This window comes from Homo sapiens, chromosome 17 (assembly GCF_000001405.40).
Source record: "Homo sapiens chromosome 17, GRCh38.p14 Primary Assembly".
NCBI classification, from domain to species: domain Eukaryota; kingdom Metazoa; phylum Chordata; class Mammalia; order Primates; family Hominidae; genus Homo; species Homo sapiens.
In genome coordinates this window covers 27,731,280-27,755,607 of record NC_000017.11, presented here as the reverse complement: position 1 = coordinate 27,755,607, position 24,328 = coordinate 27,731,280, and the positions used below count along the sequence as shown (strand labels likewise).

At 47.0% G+C, this 24,328-nt stretch overlaps 1 pseudogene, besides 2 other annotated features; it reads right to left on the bottom strand.

The window, feature by feature from the left end:
• LGALS9DP (galectin 9D, pseudogene) lies at positions 329–9,568 on the bottom strand (annotated as a pseudogene).
• Positions 9,082–9,625: an enhancer, noted in NCBI's record as "H3K27ac-H3K4me1 hESC enhancer chr17:26073009-26073552 (GRCh37/hg19 assembly coordinates)". NCBI's record gives its function as "activates a minimal SCP1, AML or CMV promoter by ChIP-STARR-seq in primed H9 embryonic stem cells {active_cell/tissue: H9 hESC(primed)}" and the evidence as "EXISTENCE:reporter gene assay evidence [ECO:0000049][PMID:30033119]".
• Positions 9,626–10,169: an enhancer, noted in NCBI's record as "H3K27ac-H3K4me1 hESC enhancer chr17:26072465-26073008 (GRCh37/hg19 assembly coordinates)". NCBI's record gives its function as "activates a minimal SCP1, AML or CMV promoter by ChIP-STARR-seq in primed H9 embryonic stem cells {active_cell/tissue: H9 hESC(primed)}" and the evidence as "EXISTENCE:reporter gene assay evidence [ECO:0000049][PMID:30033119]".

Genomic DNA, 24,328 nt, shown 5'->3' with positions numbered 1-24,328 from the left:
GGAGGCAGCTCTGACCCTGCTGTGGCCCTCACAGGCTCTGCCCCAGCCCCTCTCCCATCTCGGAGGCATGGGGCTGTTTCCTGGTGTCCCCCATTACCACCTTCCTGTGTCCGAGACTCCTGCCCAAAAGGCTAGAGCCCCAGCCTGCTTTCTCCAACACCCTCGTGGGATTTGTGAGGGACCCTCTGGGAGGAGGTGTGAGGTCAGGACCCCCTGCCCAAAGGGAGTCCATGCTTTCCCATCCCACTCCTCTCAGCAGCACCGCCGCCCGATTCCACAGACTCCAAAATGTCTCCAAATGAATTAAAGAAGCCACGGTCAACCCACATGAATGTGCCAACAAGCATTTTCATTTCTTTATTTTAAGGACACTGGGAAAGGAGCCAGTCCCCTGAAGAGAACACTCTGGTCAGTTGGTGGAGGCCAGTGGGATGCCATCAGGCTGGCTTTCCAGGAGGGGGTGAAGGGTTGATGCAGGGTGCAAGGTGAGAGTTAGGTTAAAGGTCAGAGGGGAGGGACTGAGGACGTCACCTCCCACCAGGAGTGGACAGCTGGTGGCTTGAGACTGGGGTGGAGCTGCGTGGGGGATGGGAGGGGACTGAGCATGGGGCTTCATCTTCACTGCCCACTCCCCACCTCTCCCCAGCTGTGCCCCTCTCATCAGACCCCTAAGAGTTGTTGATCTGGGTGTTGTGGACCACAGCGTTCTCATCAAAACGGGGATTGAGGTGGAAGGCGATGTGGTTCCCAGAGTGCGGGTTGATGTGGAACCTGGGGTGGGCAGCCCACCTGGACCTTTGTCCACTGAGTTCTGGGCCTTATTTCCTCCCCGTCATCCACAGCCTGCCCAAAGCCAGGGGAATGGCTGGAATCACCTTGAAGGGCTCTCTCTTCCCAGAGGTCAACTGGAGCCCTTAGCTTACCTCTGAGCACTGGGCAGGACAGTGCCCAACAGGATGATGGACTTGGATGGGTACAGCCCTCCCGGAATGATGGTGACAAAAGGCGTCGGCTTTCAGAAGGAGAGGCATGGGTCAGCCAGTGGCAGCCAGGGCAGCCCACCACACAAAAGGGAAGATTGTACCAGGTCCCATGAATTTGGGCTGTCAGCTAAGAAGAAACCAACGATATCTGTACTTGGTTCCATAAAAGCCAAAGGAAAACTTTCCAGTGCTCCTCATATTAATGGGCTTAGATTAGTGTCATGAAAGGAACTTTGGCCAAACACAAAAAGACTCATCTCGTGGGGTGAAAAGGGAGAGCCATGCAATGCGCTCGTATTGACACGACAGTTTTAAGGTTGAAAGCTCCTCTCCACAGTCTTCTAATTCGCTGGGAAGCTTTGAAGCCCTTCAGCTTACCATTTTGAAAGCCCTTCGCTTTTCATTTTGCAAGGCTAGTGGATACCCCCGAAGTGGCCCTTCACCCCCAGCCTGCCCACCACAAACAGAACCTCCGCCCTCCCTGAGAAATCACTTACATAGGTGGGGTGGGGGTACATCATAGGTGGGTTGGCGGGAGTCTGCTGAAAAGAAACCAGGAAATTCAATGGGAGAGCGCATGTGTGCGCGAGCACTCACCCACGCGCACCCATGCATTCTAGAGGGGCTCCACTGTGAGGCTGACCTCATGAGCCTTTGGCCCTTGGACTCCCCCATCCACCTCCCTTTTCATGTTAGCCTTCCTGGAACTTCCTGCCGTGTTCCCGGACTCCACCACGGTCACCTGTCCCTCAACCCCTCTGCAGGCAGCCCCACTAACGCTAAACTTCCGGCCTGATTTGCACCAGCAGGAGAAGAGCTTAAGCCTATGATCGGTAGTGACATCCTGGGGACCCAGGATGCAGGGCCAGGAACCTCACATCCGGGTGCTGGGGCCACTGCACTCCCCACTTGGTGACAGACAGACCAGTTTCCCTCCCGGTCTCTAGGGGGCTTGCCTCTTCCACCACTGGATAAATCCTGCTTCTTCCAGAATCTCTGCTGTCCCAAGGACAGCTTTAGCCACATGTCACCTGAGCCAAGCACTCAGCCCCTAGTGTCCCCATCCTCCTTGCTAAACCGCTTTCTTCCCAACTCTAGCGCTCTAGGGAATTTAGTTCTTGGTGAAGGAGGACACTGTGCAGCTGTGAACTGACCAGAACTTGTAGACTTACAGAGAACATCTGTCCAGGGGCGCTCTGCACTGTGTGGATGACTGTCTGGGTCTGGAAGAAAGAAACCAGGTCTCACCCAGGCTCTCACGTGTGAAAACCACCAGCTCCCACCAGAGGGCGCCACACGGCAGGCACCCTCCAGGGGGCGTAACAAGCCCAATGGCCCCACAGACCCCACAGAGGGTGGGCCCAGGTGTCTCTTCTCTCAAGGGGATGAGCGAGGGGCAAAGGTTAGAACCCTGGAGAAGACAGATGGGGACGCTGGTGGCTCTGGCCCATCTTTCCTCTCGGGGAAACGTCTCTCAGCCTAGCCTCCCTTTGCAGGTGACAGAAGTGAATGTGGGGCATGGTCTTCCGTGGCTGCCCACGGGGTGGCAACTCAGGTTGTTTCATCACGGCCAGCCAACCACATCCAACCCCCAACCTCACCAGGCCGGGCAGATGGTCAAGGGCCTGGCCTGTGCCCTCCCCACTCCCAATGGGAGAGGCCCAATGCCTGGCCCTGCCTCCTCCATGAGCCCAGAAAAGCCAAAATGAGGACGATCCAAAAAGAAAGCAAGAGACTTACAATGGGAGCCGGGTTGGCAGGCCACACGCCGGGAGGCTGGAGGGGTGAGGAGAGTCAGAATAGTGGTTATCGCGGGCACCACAGAATGGGAGGAGATGGTGGCAAAACTCCAGGGAGGCTCTTGTGCTCAGAAATGCCTCCCCGGACACACCCACCTCCCTCTTGCTCCCAAGAAAGCCTTCCTGAGCCCGTGGCACCCAGATTTTTACCCCCAGGTGCACAGGGCTTTGGGGTTGGGGGGTAGGGTATCCCCATTGGTTCCTCTTGAGAGAGAGGAGGCTGGGTTTGATAGAGACCTCATTGCTCTCTGTAGCTCCCACAGCCAAGAGCATTACTTCCAGTGCCATATTTTACCACTAAGGTGAGAAGTGGTATTTGTTGAAGGCCTACTGTGGGCTGATTCCTGGGTTTCACTGCTTTCCAATGAGGGAAGCAGCCTCAGCTCCTGTGTCCCTGGTGAGGTAATGAGGCTTAGAAAGATTAAGCAACTTGCCCAAGCTCGCCCAGGTGGAAGGCATCAAATCCAAAGTGGCAGCCAGTTCTGTCTGACTGTATCCAGCACACTTTCTATCCTCCCCAGGGCCAGGGCCAAATTTGGGCTGCGCTGCAAATGTTCCCTGGGGCTCGACCAGTCCTGAAGTCAGCGTGGCAGGAGGCAGGTGCCCTGTCTGTACCGTGATGAGCCGTAAGAAGACTGCATAGACAAAGCGCCCCTCCTCCCAGTCCCCACTACTGGAGTGGCCAGAGGAAGGGCTGCTCACCTCCTTGTCCTGGATCCTGCCCCACCCAGTAGACTGTTCTTGCCCTGGCTGGTATCCCATTCTCCCTGGCTGTGTGAACCACATTCCACATTCATTCACTGAGTGCAAATGAACAAGGCACAGTCCCGGCCCTCTGAAGCCTCATGGGCATAGGGAGATGGGGGTGGAGTGACGGGGACAGACAACGCAAACACAGTTACAATGGGGTGCTTTGAACTGGCATGGCACAGATACGTACAGACTCTGTGGGGTCATGGGGGAGCGTCCAACAATATTCCAGGCGGGGAGGACTCCCAGAGGAGCGACATTTAGGCAGAGCATGGAAGGGCAATTAGGCGTGTGCTGGGGGCAGGCTGGCAGAGGATGCTTCCGGGACCAGGGACAGCATATGCAAAAACATGGTGGCCCGAGAGGGCCTTGAGTGAGCTGCAGAGGCTGCGTGAGCTTTGTGGTTTAGGGGTGAGGCAGCGAGGTTGATTGGGGTCAGACTGGGAGGAATTTGTATGCCCTGCTGGGGAATTTGGGCTTTATTTGAAGGGCTGGGGGCTGTGAAGATTTTTAAGCAGGGAGAGGGTGTGATCAGATTTGCTTATAAGAAGCACTTATAAGAACTTAAGTGCTTATAAGAACCACTGTGACAGTGGTTGGGTGTGGGGGGTGGGGAACTGGACCCCTGTCGTCATGGTGAGGAATCCCGGAGGCCTGGGCCATGTCGGTGGCTTCGGGCCTCTTGGTGCCTTGGAGAGACGTAAAGAAGGGGGAATGAAGAATTCAGGGAGACCCCCAGGTCCCCAGCTCTGGGTGCCCGGCAGACAGACAGGGAACTCTTGAGTGGGCAAGATGGGGCCTGTAGGCCCTGAGTGGCCTGCTGGCTGGGGCCAGCCTCTCAGACCCTCGGTCCTTCCTACTGTCTGCTCGGCCACCCAGGGCCTCTGTGTTGAACTCACTTTTTGTCTGCGCCCCCTGGGCCTGGGTGGGAAACAGACAGACTGGGAGAATGGCACCGTGGAGAAGGCAGGCTGAACAGGGACTGTGCGGGGGTTCTGTTAAAACAAAAGGCACCGGGCAGTGAGGAGAAGCATTAATAGAGCCAAGGAGAAGCCGAAAGGCAGAGGCAAGGGCAAGAGGGAGAGACCAGGCAGGCAGGGGGATGAGGCAAGGGGGTTAGGGCCCTGCCAAGATGGGATGGGAAAGAGCCAGGCTCTGGTGAGCAGTGCAGGGGTGCGGTCTCCCTCCAGCTCTTCCCTCCCCATTCACCCACAGGGGAGGGAGTCAGGGAAAGAGGGACCAAAGTCAGAGATGAGGACCAAAGGGCGAGAAGCCCAGATTTGCTGAGGGCCTACTGTGTGCTTCGCTGATCTCAGGGAGCAGCCTCGAATGCCAAAAGGGTAATAGTAGCTCCCACCCAGCTGCTGGTGCCCTGTGGGAATGTGGGCCCAGCATACCCTAATCTTCCCATTTTTCACGTGGTATTGGTATCTCCTGACCTTCTTTAGTTTTATTTGTTTTATTTTATTTTATTATTTAAACAAAGTTTTTTGGAGACAGGGTCTTGCTATGTTGCCCAGGCAGAACTCTAATTCCTGGGCTCAAGCAATTCTCCCGCCTCAGCCTCTTGAGTAGCCAGGACTGCAGACCTCCACCACCATACCTGACTCTCCTGACCTTTTAGATGTTGGCAACACATTCAAAGTTGTTAAAACACAGAGGTCAAACAGACCCTGGTGTGGGCCCAGGGGGGCCACTGTGTGACCTCTGATATCTGTCTCCTCACTGAACCACACAACCACCCATGGGGGGCAGGCAATGACCATTCTACAGATGAAGAAACCTAGGCTGAGAGAGGTGAAGTTGCTTGTCTAAGATCCCACAGAGGATGAATGGCAGAGCTTGGAATTTGAACTGGATTCAGTTTGGTTCCTTAGCCTGTGTTCTTTCTAGAACAATATGGCCTCCTAACCAGGGTGGAAATCAAGGGGTGAGGAGAAAGGGGCAGCTGAGGAGTCTGGGAGACCAAGGCAGGTGTTCCGGACAGGGACAGTAACACAGAAGGAGGGGCAGAGTGACAGAGGAGAAGGGGCGGGCAGGTACTGGGACAGGGAAGCAGAGGTTGTCCCCAGAGTGACCTGGGTAGGAGATTGGCTTGGGCCCACCCAGCTGGGCCTAGACACAGCTATGCTGGGCCCTGCATCCCAGCCCCTGGGACCGGTGCCAGGTGCACAGTCTGACCTGGAAGCTGATGTAGGACAGCTGCACAGAGCCATTGACGGAGATGGTGTCCACACGGTGGAAGGGCACGCGGTGGAAGTACTGCACGAAGAGGATCCCGTTCACCATCACCTGCCAGAGGAGAGCACGTGTTCCGGGGGAGGCATCCCAGGCTGGGATGGGGACCACCCCTGAGCTCCTGGACCCTCTTTCTAGAAAATGAAGACCTGAGTCTGGTCTTCAGTGTGGGGCCAGTTACAGGAACGTGTGTGTGACCCGAAGTGCATCAACCCGAGTCTCTACGGGGCTCCAGTTGGACTTTTCATTCTTCTGGTTGTTTCCTGCAGTAGGTTTGTCTTTCTAGTCTTAGCTCACCTGGGGTTTCATTTATTTATTATTTATTTTTCCTTGAACAATTTTTTTTTGAGATGGAATGTCAGTCTGTCGCCCAGGCTGGAGTGCAGTGGTTCAAGTGATTCTTATGCCTCAGCCTCCTGAGTAGCTGGGATTACAGGTGCCCACCACCACACTCAGCTAATTTTTGTATTTTTAGTAGAGATGGGGTTTCACCATGTTGGCCAGGCTGGTCTTGAACTCCTGACCTGAAGTCATCTGCCCTCCTCAGCCTCCCAAAGTGCTGGGATTATAGGCATGACCCACTGTGCCCATCCCCTTCAACTTTGATTTTAAGTTCCAGGGTATGAGTACAGGATGTGCAGGTTTGTTAACGAGGTAAACGGGTGCCATGGTGGTTTGCTGCAGAGATCAACCCATCACCTTGGTATCAAGCCCAGCATCTGTTAGCTAATCTTCGTGATGCTCTCCCTCCCCCACCAGGCCCAAGGGTGTGTTGTTTCCCCCCTTGTGTCCATGTGTTCTCATCGTTCAGCTCCTACTTATAAGTGAGAACATGTGGTGTTTGGTTTTCTGCTCCTGTGTTTGTTGAGGATAAAGGCTTCCAGCTCCATCCATGTTCCTGCAAAGGACATGATCTCGTTCCTTTTTATGGCTGCAGGGGTATTATTTATATATGCATAAAATGCTCATGGGGAGCAGAGGAGAGGTGACCTCAGGTTGCATACTGAGTGGATGGGGACATCCTTATCTCAGATAAGCATACTCGGACTGACTTACCCACAGGCTTCTGAAGCCCAGAGACCTACTCTGCTTGCAAAGGTAATTTGCAATTTGCTTACAAAACTATACCCTTAATAGACCCTGGATGAAGGCTGGAACAATGTCGCTGAATAATAAATGTTACCAGACACCTGGAGAGGAGGTGTGGTGATAGCAGAGGAATGGCATGAGCTTGGAATTCAAAGACACACACCACCAAACAGCAACGTGATGACTCCTCTAGTTCTTATTTTCAGAGTAAAAGAAGCAGCAGGTGCACCTGTAGATTCAGATAAAGGTGCATAAGATGACTAGGCAGCCATGAATAACACCTTACAAGGAAATGATTGTGTTATCTGTATAGTAGCATCACTCTGGCTGAATGTCAATCAAGGTGATTACTTAAAGCCCATTCGCCTGATAGAGCTGGGGGACCCGGGGGTGAGAGGTGGGGAGGGGTTTCCTGCTCACCTTGAAATCTGAGCTCTGTAGCAGGAAGCAGAGGTCAAAGGGCATCCCCTGCTGGAGGGAATGTGCATCTTCCTTTCCTCAGGCCCCCATCTTCCTTTCTGCCTCGTGTTGTACACCATGTACCCTCCCTCTTCAAACAGAAGGTTGAAGTGGAAGGCAATGCCATTTCCACTGAAGCCGGTCTGAAAGCGCACAGCAAACCTAGGCCCAGGGAAAGCAAATAGTCTTCTGTGGCATGGGTTATTGCCAGTGACAGGCACAGGAGGGCTTCGGTGCCTCTGCCTCGCATTTGTCTGGGATCTTGCATACAACTTGCGTCGCAGAGACTGCTTGGTTGGCATCTTTTTGTTTCTCTAATTTGGATCTAATGTGTTTTTGTGCAATTATTGGATTTTGCCTTTACAGTATGATTTTCTAAAAATAAGTAGAAAATGCTTAAGGAAAAGTGCTGATATTAGCAAACAAGAAGCATAGGTCTTGGAAAGTGATTACCAATTGTTACCAAAGATGGAAGTTGTTAAGCACACCTAGAAGAGAGAGCCTTCCATGCCAGTGGACACTTGTTGGAGGCTAGCACAAGCCTGATTAAGTGGGAAAGAAGAGAACAAATGTAAAGAGCATGTGAAATTGGGGCCGGGCGCAGTGGCTCACGCCTGTAATCACAGCACCTTGGGACGCCAAGGCAGGTGGGTCACTTGAGCCCAGGAGTTGAAGACCAGCCTGAGCAACAGCGAGATCTCATCTCTACTTTAAAAAAAATTAATTAGCTTGGCATCACAGTGCACTCCTGTAGTCCCAACTGCTCCAGAGGCTGAGATGGGAGGATTGCTCGAGCCCAGGAATTGGAGGCTGCAGTGAGCTATGATCGTACCACTGCACTCCAGCCTGGGTCAAAGAAAAAAGTCCCTGTCTCAAAAGAAAAAAAATAATTAATTAAATGAATAAATGAATAAATGGAGATGAGTACATTTGAAATACCTCTGAATGTATTTTTTTCTTTTGGAGCCCTTCAGCTTCATCCCTGTAGTCCTTTGGAAATTCCTGCCCCAAGGAAGGGAGAGACAGAAAGCTCCCGAGAGGAGAGGGCCCTCTGAGGTAGGATCTGTCTCTATTCGACAGGATGGGAGTCGGAAGCCTTCCTGGTGCTGGGAGGTAGGGGAGGCCAAGGGAGAGGAAGAGAGGAAGGGGAGGAAGATCAGGGGTGTGGTCCTGATTCCCCTGGTTGGAGGGTTCAGGGGGATCAGGGCCTCCCTGCCCTTGGCATCTCCTGGGGGAGGTCAGCAAGAATCTAGTGGCCGAACTGATGTTGAGTTGGGATCTGCAAGGCCCAGAAGGTCTTAAGGAGAGGACCCCTGGGACTGAGGCAGAGAGGCTTCTGTGGGAGAACCATGAGTCCAGAGGCTCTTCTGTGGGCCCCGCAGACTTCAGCAAGCCACCCTGTGGTCTCCCACCCAACCAGGAGAGAGCTGCACACCTCTGTGTCACCCAATCAGGGTGCCTCGGCAGGGGTCAGCCAGGCCTGCGTGAGGGTCTAGAGCCCTCCCAGCCACTGAGAAGCCATGTGAGCTCTTCTCTGTTCCCAGACAGCCCACCTTGGGAGGGAGGAGGGGGTGGGAAACAGCCCTGATACAATGTTAGTATGTTGAATTGACTTAGTAGTTTCCAGAAAAGGCCTTGAAACTGAAAGAGACCAAATTACTTTGAATGTCAATTTTCAATATTTTCACATCAGCAGAAGGAGAGCTTCAGAGTGGATGAGAGCAGTTACGGGAAATAGAGGAAGTTTGATTTTTGCAACTCTTAGTCACAGTGTGCAAGGTTCAACCCAGAACATAATCATCCAACTCTGACCATCCCACGCCCTCCTTAGACCGTCAGCTCCCAGGGCCCCATTCATCCTGGAGTCCAGGTTAATGGCACCCCTGGGTGCAGGTTGTGCCTGTGGAGTGCTGCCCTGTGGCATGGGTTAGGGACGCATTGGGCCTCCCCTGAGCCAGGCACGTGAGCTTGGATGTTGCTGTTTGAACTAACCCAGGCTCACAGGCACAGTGGTTTACTAAGGGACGAGGCTGGAGTGAAACGTTTCCATCCATATACACACACACCTGGTTCCACTGGAGCTGAGAACGGTCCCATTGACAGTGATCTGAAGTCCGTCCTGGAGACCTCCTTGAATAGTCCCAGAAAAGGGGACAGCCTGCAGGGAGAAGGTGTGGGAACATCAGTCAGGTGGCCGGCCTCCCGTTTGCTCCCCTCCAGCGCTAGTCAGTGGCCAGCCTGGGTTTGACAGCGCCATGCAAGGGGATAGGGTGCGGCTGTGACCAGTACAGAGGGAGTCGCAGCCCCACGGGTCTTAGGGTCCTGTGTGGAGGCAAACACAAATCCAATTAGTTACTCAGACAGTCTAAGCTTGTGATAAAGAGAAGCCTGGCCCTGAGAGGACGCGACAGGGAGCTGAGCTTGTGTGAGAGTCTAAGAGGCAGTGGAGGCTGCAGCAGGAACGCACCAGGCAGAAGGCCTTCCTTCCAGGCAGGGAAGTAGCAGGCAGACACCCTGGGCTGCTAAGGAATTAGGTAGCAATGGGGGCTGCTGGACCTTATGTCAAGCTCCCAGCAAAGCGCCCAGGGCCCTGGCTGGGGACTCAGGATGTCCAAGGGACATAAGGGACCCATCAAGGGTCTGGAGGGTAAACCTTCGACTCACCCGAGAAAGTTAAGAAGAAGCCATCCCCCTCTCCCCACCACCACCATATAACAATGGCCACTGTGACCTTTGCCCTCCTGGCCACCTTCAGCAAAGTGTCTTCCCAGATGCCTTCTGTAGCCGTGGGGCAGCCCCCTCCTCTACTTCTGCGCCCGGGCTCCCCATTCCTTCCCTCAGGCCCTCAGCAGCCCAGAGCCCTAGCGTAGTTTCCCCACCCATCCCAGGCCCCACGGGCAACCACTTTGTCAAATTCTCTCTTCTGGTGCTCTTTAAAGGAGCAATGCGCCATGGTGAGGCATGCATCGTTTTAGAGTCAGGCCAACTCCAGGTCTGAATCCTAGCTCTGCTGCTCATATGACCTGAGTGACCTCGGGAAGCCTATTTCACCTCTCTGTGCCTCAGTTTTCTCATCCGTAAAATACAAAGGTGTTTCTCCTACTGCATATGATTGATGATTTTGTGAGAAACAGCCTGTGGTAAAAGAGACTGGCACATAGGAGATGCTTCACCACTGTCACCCACCCCCCACCTTCATCTCTCTGAGCAAAATTCACAAACTGGTACTTCCAATTTTCAAAGTTTATTCCCAAAATGCTTCATATCCAGTGTGGTTCTATAACCCTCATTAAAGCACAGTTCTATCTCCTGGCTGATTTTCACATTCTTCAAGTTTTTAATGTCTTCTCTAATATCTCCTTTAGGTCAATTTCCTACACAAATTAAATGCCTAAAGGAGCCAGGCAGGTGATGTGTATGGGTGAGATGGCCAGGTGGGGGAGTGGTGGGGACTGTGGCAAAGTAGACGTCACACCCCTCATCTGAAAAGTCAACATCTACTCAGTGCTAATCAGTGATTGCCATCTGGGCCCAGTATTGGCAGAGCTTCCAAATTTTTAAGAGAAGACAGAAGTCTGGATTTTTATTTTTCTGTAAAATTTTCTAATTTCTTAGAGGAAAATTTTTGTCAAAAAGGATTATGTTAAAGTTCCTGGCTGGGCACAGTGGCTCACATCTATAATTGCAGGACATTGGGAGGCCGAGGCAAAACAATCACTTGAGACCAGGAGTTTGAGGCCAGCCAGCCTGGGCAACATAGTGGGACCCCCATCTCTACAAAAAAATAAAAAAATTAGCCAGATGTGGCACACACCTTTAATCCCAGCTATTTGGGAGGCTGAGGTGGGAGGATCACTTGAGCCTGGGAGGTTGAGGCCACAATCACGCCACTGCACTCCAGCCTGGGCAACCAAGTGAGATCCTGTCTCAAATGAAATTCCCCAAATTCCCATATTATAGAGATACAAAATGAAATATTTGCAATGGAATGGTATCTCTGGATTTGCTTCCACATATTTGAGGGTGGGAAGGGAAGCAAGCGAGGGAGGGTATAGGATGAAGCAAGATAGGCCTGAATTGATCATTGTTGGAGCAGAGTGATGGGTGTGTGTTGTTGATGGTACAATTCTCTCTGCATGTTTGAATTTCCTATAATAACAAGTTAAACACTGTGCAGACCAAACAGAAAACACCCACCAGCCAAATTCAGCCTACTCGCCACTGCTTTCTGGTCTGTATTGTTGAGTTGTGTGACCACAAAGAACCCTGGGAAACCCATCCTAGCTCAGTGTACACACCTGGCATCGTGAAAGCCCCAGAAAATCTGGGATCTGATTCAGATAGACTCTGCTCCCCATGGATTTGAGGGGGGTGTCTTTTGTTGCCCCTCAGGTCAGGTCTGAACTCTGCCATTAAGTACTTTAGTGACCTCAAGCAAATCACAGCTTCTTTGTGTCTCTGACTTCTCTTTCTTGTCCCTGTCTACACCAGCGGTGTCGGGGAGGGAGAGTCAGCCTGATCCAGTTATGGACCAGCACGACCTAGGATTGGGAAGCCTGTTGTCCCTGAAACATGTCTGTGGAACATTTTTCCGCTTGCCTGTTTGTGGAGGCCTGTGATTCCCTCCAGAGCCTTTCATACTATCATGAGAGACAACACTGAAAATACACACCTTCCTGGAAAGCATGCGGCCTCCACTCAAGCGTATTCACAGCACAGCATCCAGAATTGAAGGCAGAGCGTGATGGACATGGGCTCGCAAGTACACACAAGGCTTAATTAAGGAAGCCAGGAGGGAGAAACAGGAAGTACAGATCATGGGGGTGGGACAGGACAGGCTAATCTCCAAGGCAACAAGTTCCCCAAAAAAGTTCTGTGAAGTGTCAAAATGTCTTAAATGGCACCCTCAAATTCTGAAAAACAAGATTATTTTATTTTAGTTTGAGATTGGTTCTCACTCTGTTGCCCAGGCTGCAGTGCAGTGAGGGGTGTGATCCTGGTTCATTGCAGCCACCACCTCCTGGGCTCAAGTGAGCCTCCCACGTCAGCCTCCCGAATAGCTGGGACCAAATAGGTACATGCCACCATGCCTCACTAATTTTTAAGTTTTTTGAAAAGACAGGTTCTTGATATGTTGCCAGAGCTGGTCATGAACACCTGGGCTGAAGTGATCCTTCTGTCTCAGCCTCCCAAAGGGCTAGGATTTCAGGTATGAACCACCATGCCTGGCCTGAAAAATGAGATTTTAAATAGAAAGTTATCCTACAAACAAGGTTATAGGATTATATAGGTTGCAGCATTATAATACAAAAGATTATAAAGCAAAGCATTGGAAAGAGCTTAAAAGTCTTCCAACAGGAAAAAAGTGAAATAAATTAGGGTATTTCCATATAATAGGTTCTGTGTAACCTTAAAAAGAAAAGAAAAAGAGGAAGATGGAACTGAGCACTGATATGGAATGATGCCACTTGTATAAAAAGTGGGTGGGGGGAGGCTATGGACTTGCATTTATTTATTTATAGATAAAATATCTCTGGAAGGATTTTCAAGAAACTTATAACACTGGTTATCAGTGGGCCACCCCCCAGAAACATCCACATTCAAATCCCCAGAAACTGTGAATACGTTGTAGAAGGGACTTTGTAGATGTGATTAAATCAATAATTTTGGCATGGGGAGATTGTCCTGGATTATACAGGTGGTCCCAATGTGATCACAAGGATCCTATAAAAGGGAGGCGGGAGAATGAGTCCTGCAGATGTGACAACAGAAGCAAGAAGAAGCTGGTTTTGGTTTTTTGTTTGTTTGTTTTGTGTTTTTTTTTTTTTTTTTTTGAGACAGGATCTCACTCTGTCACCCAAGCTGGAGTGCAGTGGTGTGATCTCAGCTCTCTGCAGCCTCCACTTCCCCAGGCTCACGTGATTCCCCCCACCTCAGCCTCCCAAGTAGCTGGGACTACAGGCATGCACCACTATGCTCGTCTAATTTTTTTCTATTTTTTTGTAGAGACACGGTCTCACTTTCTTGCCCAGACTGGTCTCCAACTCCTGGACTAAAGAGATCCTCCTGTCTTGGCTTCCCAAAGTGCTTGGATTACAGGCATGAGTCAATGTGCCTGGACAAAGCTGACAGTTTTAAAGATGGCAGGAGGGCCCATAAGCCAAGGCATGCATGTAGCTTCTAGAAGCTGCAAAAGGAAAGGAAACAGATTCTTTCCCCTGGAGCCTCCAGAAGGAAACAAACTTGCTGACACATTGACCTTTTAACATCTGACCTCCAGAATCATTAAGAGTATAAATTTGTTGTTTTAAGATTGGCCAGCCAAGGCTGCTGTGAAATTCAGATCTGTGTGTCCAGGAAACCCAGGAAAACAACTGGACTCACTTTTGCTCCGTAGGGTTCAGGAGGACGGATTTTTGCACTGGATTTATGGCCCCATGGGCTCCCCTCCCAGCTCCGTACACTAGCAATTCAGACATTGGCCAAGTTGCTTGACCTGCCTGTGCCCCACTTCCCTCCTCTGAACGGCAGGATGGTAACACTACGTGGCAGAGTTCTGGAGAGGACTGGGTGCGATGCCGTGTGCTGAGTCCCTGGCTCGTGTCAGCCTTGGCAGTGCAGCTCTTTGCATGGAATGAATCAATCCCTCTGCTGAGTCAGAACTTGCTCTCTGTTCTTGGTTGTGCCCAGAGACTGGGAACTTTCCCTCTTCTTCCTATTTGGAAGTCTAGAAAGCAGAGCTGAGCCCTGCGGACCAGAATGTGGGCAGCCTTGTTCTGGACTCAGCATCACCAGAGGACACCCAGGCTTGCCCCGACAGTGGGGAGCTCAGCCTGGCTGGCCAAGACTGCCTGCCAGCCAGAGCCAGTATGTGGCTCTTAGCCAAAGTGTCCCACTGCCTCAGAGGCTCCACGGTCCTGCTGGCCACCTTCCATGACACTTTGATTTTAGCCTTCTGACCTCCAACACTATAAGAACAAATGTGTTGTTTTAAGGTTGGCCAGCTAAGGCTGCTGTGGCATCTGGATCCATGTGTGTCCATGAGAGTGCACGACACTGCACTCCAGCCTGGGCAATAGAGCAAGACTCTGGCTAAAAAAAATTTAAAAATTAAAAAAAATAAGAAAAACTGCTTGGTGAGTTTTAATACAGTCAAATATCTACTTCTATTGGCTGGCTTTTCTACTTCTAAAAAATTACCCAAGAGAAAGGAAAACATATGTGCCTGTTTTTAACAGCTTTACTCATCATTGTCCCAGGCTGGAAACAGTGCAAATGTTCACCAAAGGAGAAGGGAGAATGAATTGTGGTTTTCATACAACTGAGTGGCCCTCAGCAATAAAAAGGAGCTAGGCCACAGGAAACATCAATGGGCCTCGCAACTGAGCAGAAGAAGCCAGATCCAAACAGACACATGCTGTGAAAATTCCATTCAAGTCAAGTTGAACAACAGGCCAGAATGGCATTACCCTTGGGGGTCTCTGACTGGGACGGGCACGAAGGAGTCTTCGAGAGCCTGGAAATGTTCTGGATCTGGTTCTGGGTGGTGGTCACACAGGTGTTTACATCCATTAACAACAGGCTGAGGCTGGGTGCAGCAGCTGACACCTGTAATTGAGCACTTTGGGAGACTGAGGCAGGAGAATTGCTTGAGCCCAGGAGTTCGAGACCAGCCTGGGCAGCATAATGAGACATCATCCCTACTAAAAATCAAAAAAATTAGTGGGGCATGGTGGTGCATGCCTGTAGTCCCAGCTACAGGGAGACTGAGGCAGGAAGATTGCTTCAGCCTGGGAGGTTGAGGCCATAGTGAGCTATGATTGTACCAGTGCACTCCAGGTTGGGTGACAGAGCAAGACCCTGCCTCATAACAAAACAAAACTCAACAGAAAACCAGGATCTGTACATTTTACTCTACCTAGACAATATCTCCATAAAATACTGCTAAAAGAAAAAAATCTCCCAGGGCCCAAGGAGACACAGGCACAGCTCAGAGTTCTAGCAAATCAACACGTTAGCATTAACTTGAGCCTTGGAGGTGAGTCACAGGTAAGCAGCCCACTAGTGAGTCCAGCCCATAAAGGAGGGCCCTCTGCTCCACACCCTGCCTGGATGGGCCCCAGTCATACTCACTGGCCATCAAAAGTTCAATGGCTAAACAGTATGTACAAAATACATAAAATAGGCTGGGAGCAGTGGCTCACACCTGTAATCCCATCACTTCGGGAGACCGAGGCATGTGGATCAGCTGAGGTCAGGAGTTCAAGACCAGCCTGGCCCATCTCTACTAAAAATACAAAAATTAGCTAGGCGCAGCGGCACATGCCTGTAATTCCAGCTACTCAGGAGGCTGAGGCAGGAGAATCACTTGAACCCGGGAGGCGGAGGTTGCAGTGAGCCGAGATTGCGCCATCACACTCCAGCATGGGTGACAGAGCGAGACTCTGTCTCAAGCTCTGATCCATGCTTTAACATGGATGAAACCTTGAAAACATTATGCTAAGTGAAATAAAGACAGCCACAAAAGGACGAATGTTGTATGATCCCACTTACATGAGGTATCTAGAATGGGCAAATTCTTAGGGACAAAGTAAAATAGAGGTTAGTAGCAGCTAGGGAGAGGGGAAGTGAAGAGTTACTGTTTAATGGCTATAGTTTGTTTTTGTGTGGGGCGAAGAAAAGATTTTCAAATAAATAGTGGTGGTGAGTACACAACATTGTCAATGTACTTGGTGCCGCTGAATTGTACACTTCAAAATGGTTATAAAGATAAATTTTATGTTAATGTATATTTTATATCACAACTTTTTTTTTTTTTGAGACAGTCTTGCTATGTTGCCCAGGCTGGAGTGCAGCAGCACAGTCTTGACTCACTGCAATGTCTGCCTCCAGGGTTCGAGCAATTCTGGTGCCTCAGCCTCCTGAGTAGGTGGGATTACAGGCACCTGCCACCAGGCCTGGCTAAGTTTTATATTTTTCTTAGTAGAGACAGGGTTTCACCATGTTGGCTAGGCTGGTTTCAAACTCCTGAACTCAGGTGATCCGGCTGCCTCAGCCTGCCAAAGTGCATGAGCCACTGTGCCAGACCTTATCACAATTTTTTTTTTTTTTTTTTAGAGATGGAGTCTCGCTCTGTCTCCCAGGCTGGGGTGCAGTGGCGCGATCCTGGTTTACTGCAACCTCTGCCTCCCAGATTCAAGCTATTCTTTTACCTCAGCCTCCTGATCAGCTGGAACTACATGTGCATGCCCCCACACCTCGCTAATTTTTTTTGTATTTTAATAGAGAAGGGGTTTCACCATGTTGCACAGGCTGGTCTCGAACTCCTTAACTCAGGCAATCCGCCCGCCTCGGCCTCCCATAGTGCTAGGATTACAAGCATGAGCCACCGCACCCAGCCTATCACAACTTTTTAAAAGTGAAAAGTTATGTACATATAAATATTCCTCACATTTGTATCTACATTATTAAAAACCACAAACCAGCTGAAGTATAAATGGGGGAACAGCTTAACACACATCAGTAAGACTGAAACTTGTTTATGCTAAGACAGAAAATACAAAATAATGATTGCTAGGAGAATAACTATTAAATACATGTCAATTGGCCCAGTGTGGTGGCTCATGCCCTGTAATGCCAGCACTTTGGGAGGCCAAGGCAGGTGGATCACATGAGATCAAGTGTTCGAGACCAGCCTGGCCAACATGGTGAAACCCTGTCTCTACTAAAAATACAAAAATTAGCTGGGCATGGTATTGGGTGCCTGTAGTCCTAGCTACTGGGGAGGCTGAGGCAGGAGAATTGCTTGAACTCGGGAGGTGGAGGTTGCAGTGAGGTGAGATGGTGCCACTGCACTCCAGCCTGGGCAACAGAGAGACACTCCATCTCAAAAAAAAAAAAAAAAAATCTATTGCAGATCAACAAACTAATTTTGTGCCAACTGCTTTAATGAAGACAAAATAAATGAAAAAAACTACTAAATTAAGTGTGAAGGAGCAGAAAATCTATTAATTTGGTAATTTTCTTAAGAATGATGATAGCTAATATTCATGGAGAGCTTGTTATAAGCCACATCCTATCCTAAATGTGTTGCTTGTTTTAACTTCATCCTCCCAACACTTCTATGAGATTGATTCTAAAATTCTCTTCACTTAGAAAAAACTGGGGCCTAGAGAAGAGATTTCTCTATAACAAGTGATGCTGTTTGGTAGCATTTTGCCCCCAGTAGAGCTTCTTTCAGAATTGGGGTCAATCTTCTCAAACCCCTCTGCTGCTTTATCAACTAAGTTTCTACACAATTCTGAATCCTTTGTTGTCATTTCAACAATGTTTACAGCGTCTTCACCAGTAGAATCCATCTCAAGAAACCACTTCCTTTGCTTATCTATTAAAATCAACTCCTCACCTGTTCACATTTTATCATGGATTGCTGCAATTTGGTCACATCTTCAGGCTCCACTTCTAATTCTAGTTCTCTTGCGAGTTCTGCCACATCTGCTGTTACTTTCTCCATTGAAGGCTTGAACCCCTTAAAGTCATCCTGGGTGGTTGGAATCAATTCTTCCAAACTCCTGTTAATGTTGCTATTCTGACCTGCTCATGAATGTTCTTAATGGCATCTAGAATGGTGACTCCTTTCCACAAGGCTCTCAATTTACTTTGCACAGATCCATCACAAGAATCACTATCTATGGCAGCTTTAGCCTTACAAAATGTATTTCTTAACTAATAAGTCTTGAAAGTCAAAATCCCTCCTTGAACCATGGGCTTCAGAATGCATGTTGTGTTGGCAGGCGTGAAAACAATGTTCCTCTCCTTGTACATCTCCATCAGAGCTCTTGAGGAACCAGGTGCATTGTCAAAAAGAAGTAATATTTTGAAATAATTATTTTTTCTGAGCAGTAGGTTTCCACAGTGGACTTAAAATATTCAGTAAATTATACTGTAAACAGATATCTTCCAGGCTTTGTTGTTAAATTTACAGAGCACAGGCAGAGTAGATTGAACATAATTCTTAAGGGCCCTAGCATTTCTGGGATGGTAAACAAACAATGGCTTCAATTTAAAGTCACCAGCTATCCTAGCCCCTAAGAAGACAGTCAGCTGTCCTTTGAAGCTTTGAAGCCAGGCACTGACTTCTGCTCTCTAGGAGGAAAGTCCTAAATGGCATCTTCTTCCATCAAAAGGCTGTTTCTTCTACATTGAACATCTGTTGCTTAGTGGACCTGCCTTTATCAATGATCTTAGCTAGATCTTCTGAATAACTTGCTGCAGCTTCTACATCAGCACTTGCTGCTTCAAACTTGCACTTTTTATTTATTCATTTATTTATTTATTTTGAGGCAGAGTCTCGCTCTGTCACCAAGGCTGGAATGCAATGGCACAATCTTGGCTCACTGCAAACTCTGCCTCCCAGGCTCAAACGATTCTTCTGCCTCAGCCTCCCAAGTAGCTGGGATTACAGGCACATGCCACTGCACCCAGCTAATTTTTGTATTTTTAGTAGAGATGGTGTTTCACCGTGTTGCCCAGGCTGGTCTTAAACTCCTGACCTCAGGTGATCCACCCGCCTCAGCCTCCCAAAGTGCTGAGATTACAGGCATGAGCCACTTTGCCTGGTCTAATTTTTGTATTTTTAGTAGAGACGGAGTTTCACCATGTTGGCCAGGCTGGTCTTGAACTCCTGACCTCATGATCCCCCCACCTCAGCCTCCCAAAGTGCTGTAATTGCAGACGTGAGCCACCACGCCCAGCCAACCTCACAATTTTATATTATAGAAATGACTTCTTTCCTTAAACCCCATGAACCAACCTCTGTTAGCTTCAAACTTTTCTTCAGTGGCTTCCTCACCTCTCTCAGCTTTCATAGCACTGAAGCGAGCTAGGGCCTTGCCCTGGATTAGGCTTTGCCTTAAGGGAATGTTGTGGGTGGTTTGATCTTCTATCCAGACTGCTAAAACTTTCTCTGTATCAGCAATAAGTCTGTTTTGCTTTTTCATCATTTGTGTATTCACTGAAGTGGCACTTTGAATTTCCTTCAAGAACTTTCCCTTTGTTTTCACAGCTTGGCTAACGGGCACAAGAGGCCTAGCTTTCAGCTTAGGTCGGCTTTCGGTATGCTTTCTTCACTGAAGGTAGTCGTTTCTGCCTTTTGATCGAAAGTGAGAATCATGCAATTATTCCTTTCACTTGAACACTCACAGGCTACTGCAAGGTTATTAATTAGCCTAATTTCAATACTGTTCTGTGTCAGGTAATAGAGAGGCCTGAGGAGAATGAGCGAGCTGAGAATGGATGGTGAATGACACAGTGAGAACACACACAACTGGGAAGGTGCGGTGGCTCATGCCTGTAATCCCAACACTTTTGGGAGGCCGAGGTGGGAGGATTGCTTGAGTCCAGGAGTTGGAGACTAGCTTGGGCATATAATGAGACCTCTTCTCTACAAAAAATTTAAAAATTAGCTGAGTGTGGTGGCATGCACTTGCTGTCCCAGTTATTCAGGAGGCTGAGGTGGGAGGATCGCTTGAGCCGGGAAGGTGGTGGTTGCAGTGAGCTGAGATTATGCTACTGCACTCCAGCCTGGGTGACAGAGAAAGACCCTGTCTCAAAAACAAAACAAAACAAAACAAAACAAAACAAAACAAAAGAATACAAAACAAAAAGACACATACACAAAAATTTTCTATCAGCGAGGTTGTAAACAATTACAATAGTAACATCAACAATCACTGATCGCTATATAACAGATATGATAATAATGAAAACATCTAAAACACTGTTACCGAAATGTAGCACAGAGACACGAAGTGAGCATATGCTGTTAGAAAAACAGCACTGCAAGACTTGCTTGACACGGCGTTGCCACCAACCTTCAGTTTGTAAAAAATAATATCTGCAAAGCGCAATAAAGCAAAACACAATAAAATTTAGTAGACCCGTACATGAGATTTTTTTGTATTATTTGTTTTTCTTTGTACAGATGGGGTCTCACTGTCACCCAGGCTGGAGTGCAGTGGGACCATCACAGCTCACTGCATCTTTGAACTCCTGGGCTTCAAGGGATCCTCCTGCCTCATCTTCCCAGGTAACTGGAATCACAGGCATGAGCTACCACACCTGGCGTCTCTCTATTATTTCTTACAACTACATGCAAATCTATAATTAACTCAAAACAAAAAGTTAAACATTTATAAAGTGTTGACCAATGTACCAAATGACAATAACACAAAAACCCAATTCCAATTTAGATTAAGTATAAAGCTACATACCTTAAGTAGTATACAACTGTGAAGCAGCATGTAAAAATCAGATAAGCAGTCTGTGGAAATACGTTTCTACATAAATAAACTCAAGGCATCAGACTACAAAGAAATGTAAAATTACAAAGCCAAGCATTTCACACAAATTGTCAGAAAGCCAGCCAGGTACACTTCATCATTTCCGCTATCTGTTTTCTATAAGATCTGAAGATATAATAGCATTTCTGTTGTATCTGTTCTCAACCATAGAGGTCAGAACTAAACTAGCTAATAAACTAGCCTGACTACTCTACTTTAGTTAGAAAATAAACCCATTATAATTTGTACTCAAAGACAATATTCCTGAGGAACCGTAGTTGAGATGAACGCTAAGGAAAAACTTCCTATGTCATTACATACAAAGAAAATTCCTTGAAGTTGTTTGTGGCACACAGATAGAATCCTTGTTCTATGTAATGAGTGCTGGCTTAAAAGGTATGCTTTTCTGAAAATGACATTTTGACCAATTTAAATCATATTTTACATGTAATAAAACCATTTTCTATTTACATGAATCAAATCAAGTCTTGTAGAGCAAACAGTTATGCCTCCATTTATTTCCCACTTTTTGCACAAAATTGGATTTTCATAGAATAGATTTTCTTAAAAGGATAAATGCTCGCTGACATTGGTCATTTTATATATTTGAGATTGACAACGTATCCTCATATTATGGTAATTTTATAGCAATATTGTCAAAGTAAATAGTGTTTTCTGGATTCACTTGAAAATGAAACCAAGCTAAAGAAAACAAAAATTATAATCCCAAATATGCTACCCTATAGAGGAAGGGGTTTTTCTTCCCCTTGAGTCCCCTTGTACATTAGTCATCTTTCTTTTATTAAAAGTCTTAAAATATCCTCTAAAGCAGATTTCAAAATACAACATCTGCAGTTCTGCTCACAGAAGGGATCTGTAATTTATAGGAAGACGATGCTGACACTAGCTTAACCATGCATTTAGCACACTACAGTTACAGTGAATCACACAGGAATTCCACACATCTTCTCTACCCCGTCATCGTTAGTTTACATAGTGGCATCAACAGAGAAAAGCCAGTGATTCCTAAATGTCTTCTCAAATTTCCCAGTCTCCAGGTCCTTGCTCATTTGGCTAAGACCAAATAAACAAACACTATTCATTAAAATGCATCCTGGCCAGTATGGACACAATGACAGAGTGACTCCATACAGATGGCATCATCTGGTTAAAATTAAATTTAAACTTATTTTCCTTTGGGGTATAAAATATATAATCAAATGGAGTTATCCTTCGTATGTAAGTACTTGATAACAGCCCTGAGGTGTTCTATAAAGTCATCTAGAGCCTGTAATTAAGAAACAAATATCTGTTTGTCTCAAGACCAATGTAAACTAGCTGAAAACAATAAGCTACATTTCATCACCAGTTATCGTGCTAAGGAATCACTAAAGCCATATCTAAATAATTCTCTTTTTAAAAAATAACTCATTTCCCATCAAAAAATAACTCATTTCCCCCAACACACACACTGCAAATGGCACACATTTGAAGAGTAAACATGTGATTTCAAACATATATCTTAAAGTAATTTAAACCAACAAAATGTAAGAACTCGGCCTAATCACTTAGATAATATCTAATTAGAATCCTCTTTTAAAGCAATAGGAAAGTGAGTAAATAATAAGCAAATAAGAAAGCAAGTAAATGAGAAAACAAATAAGCAAGTATATAATTAATAAGTAAAAATTTAAAAATCAATCCCTTTGCAAGCTGCAATAATTGATGATGTTGTCACTCACCAATCAGACCGTTTACATCAAGCATTGTGGTGAGATAGTCTTTCACTTACAGTTAACCAGAGAGATCCTTAAGATCTATGTCTTACTTATTTCTACATTTCTTATTTAATCTCTTCAATTATGTTAACTGAATACAATTAAGCTGCAGTGGAATACATATATACTGTTTTAGTGCTAAGAGCTTTTTATTTTACAGAGAACATTTGGAAAATACAGGAAAACAAAGATGAAAGGAGAAACCAGCTGTAATCTCTCTTCCATTAACATTGATGTGGTGGCATATTTCCTTTCAGTCTGGGTAGATGAAGGAATATCTTTATTTGCTTTGTTCATGGGTTGTTTAGCACAAACATTTTCATAATCACAGCAAGTTACTGGGAGACAGAAAGTGAAGCAACTGACAGACTCAGATTCCTACTCAGTTCAAGGAAAGAATAAAAAAAAAGGCTAAGCCATTAGCAGTGAGATACTGGAAAATCACTTTTTACTTTTTTAAAAACAAAAATAATTATTTTTGGAACAGTTTTAGTCACATAGAAATATTCAGTAGAAGGTACACACTGTATACCCCTTCTCCTTCACCTGTGATTACCTCTTGCCTTAGTGTGGCACATGTGTTACAACTGATCACCCAGTACCCATAAATTACTAACTAAATGCCATGCTTTAGAGTTGACTCTTTGCATTGCACGATGGTGGGGGTTTTGTCATGGATCCATCCTTGCAGTATCATACAGAAGAGTTTTACTGCCCTAAGTAGCCTGTGATTCACCTATTCGTTTTTCCTCCCTTTCCCATCCTCAACCCAAGAATTGCTGATCTTTTTTCTGTCTCTATAGTTTTTTCTTTTCCAGAATGTCATATAGTTAAAATTATACAACATGTAGCCTTCATAGACTGGCTGCTTTTATGCATTTAAAGTGTCCCCACATCTTTTCTGGGCTTGATAGCTTATTTCTTAGTATGGCTGAATAATATTCCACTGCATGGATGTACCACCATTTGTTTATCCATTCACTTATTTAAGGACATCTTGATTGCTTCCAACTTTTGGCAATTATGAATGAAGCTTCTGTAAAGTGTTAATATACAGGTTTTTGTGTAGACATAAGTTTTCAACTCATTTAGGAAAATCACTAGGAGCATGACTGCTAGAATGTATGGTAAGACCATATTTAGTTTTTTTGTTTGTTTGTTTTGTTTTGTTTTGTTTTCTTGAGATGGAGTCTCACCCTGTCACCCAGGCTGGTGTATAGTGGTGTAATCTTGGCTCACTGAAACCTCCACCTCCAGGGTTCAAACATTTCTCCTGCCTCAGCCTCCTGCGTAGCTGGGATTACAGGTGCTGGCCACCATGCCCAGCTAATTTATGTATTTTTAGTAGAGATGAGTTTCACCATGTTGGCCAGGCTGGTCTTGAACTCCTGACCTTGTGATCTGCCCACCTTGGCCTCCCAAAGTGTTGGGATTACAGGTGTGAGCCACCGTGCCCACCTGTCTGTTCATTCTTAACAGTGTCACTGGCACAGCAGACATGTTTTACTTTAATGAAGTCAATCTTGTCCATTTTCTCTTTTGTAGATGGTGTTTTTGTGTTGTATCTAAAATCTCATTGCCAAACCCAAGGTCACCTAGATTTTCCCCTATGTTATTAAACTCCTAGAAATTTTCTAGTTTTTTGTTTTTCATTTAAGTCTATGACCTGTTTTGAGTTAATTATTGGGAAAGGTGTAAGGTCAGTGTCTATATTCATTATTCCACATGTGGTTGTCTAGTTGTTCCAGCACCATTTGTTGAAAAGACAATTTTTTCTCCATTAAATTGCCTTTGCTCCTCTGCCAAAGATCAGCTGACTCTATTTGTATAGGTCTATTTCTGGGGTGCCTATTCTGTTCCATTGATCTATTTACCTGGTCTTTCACCAATAC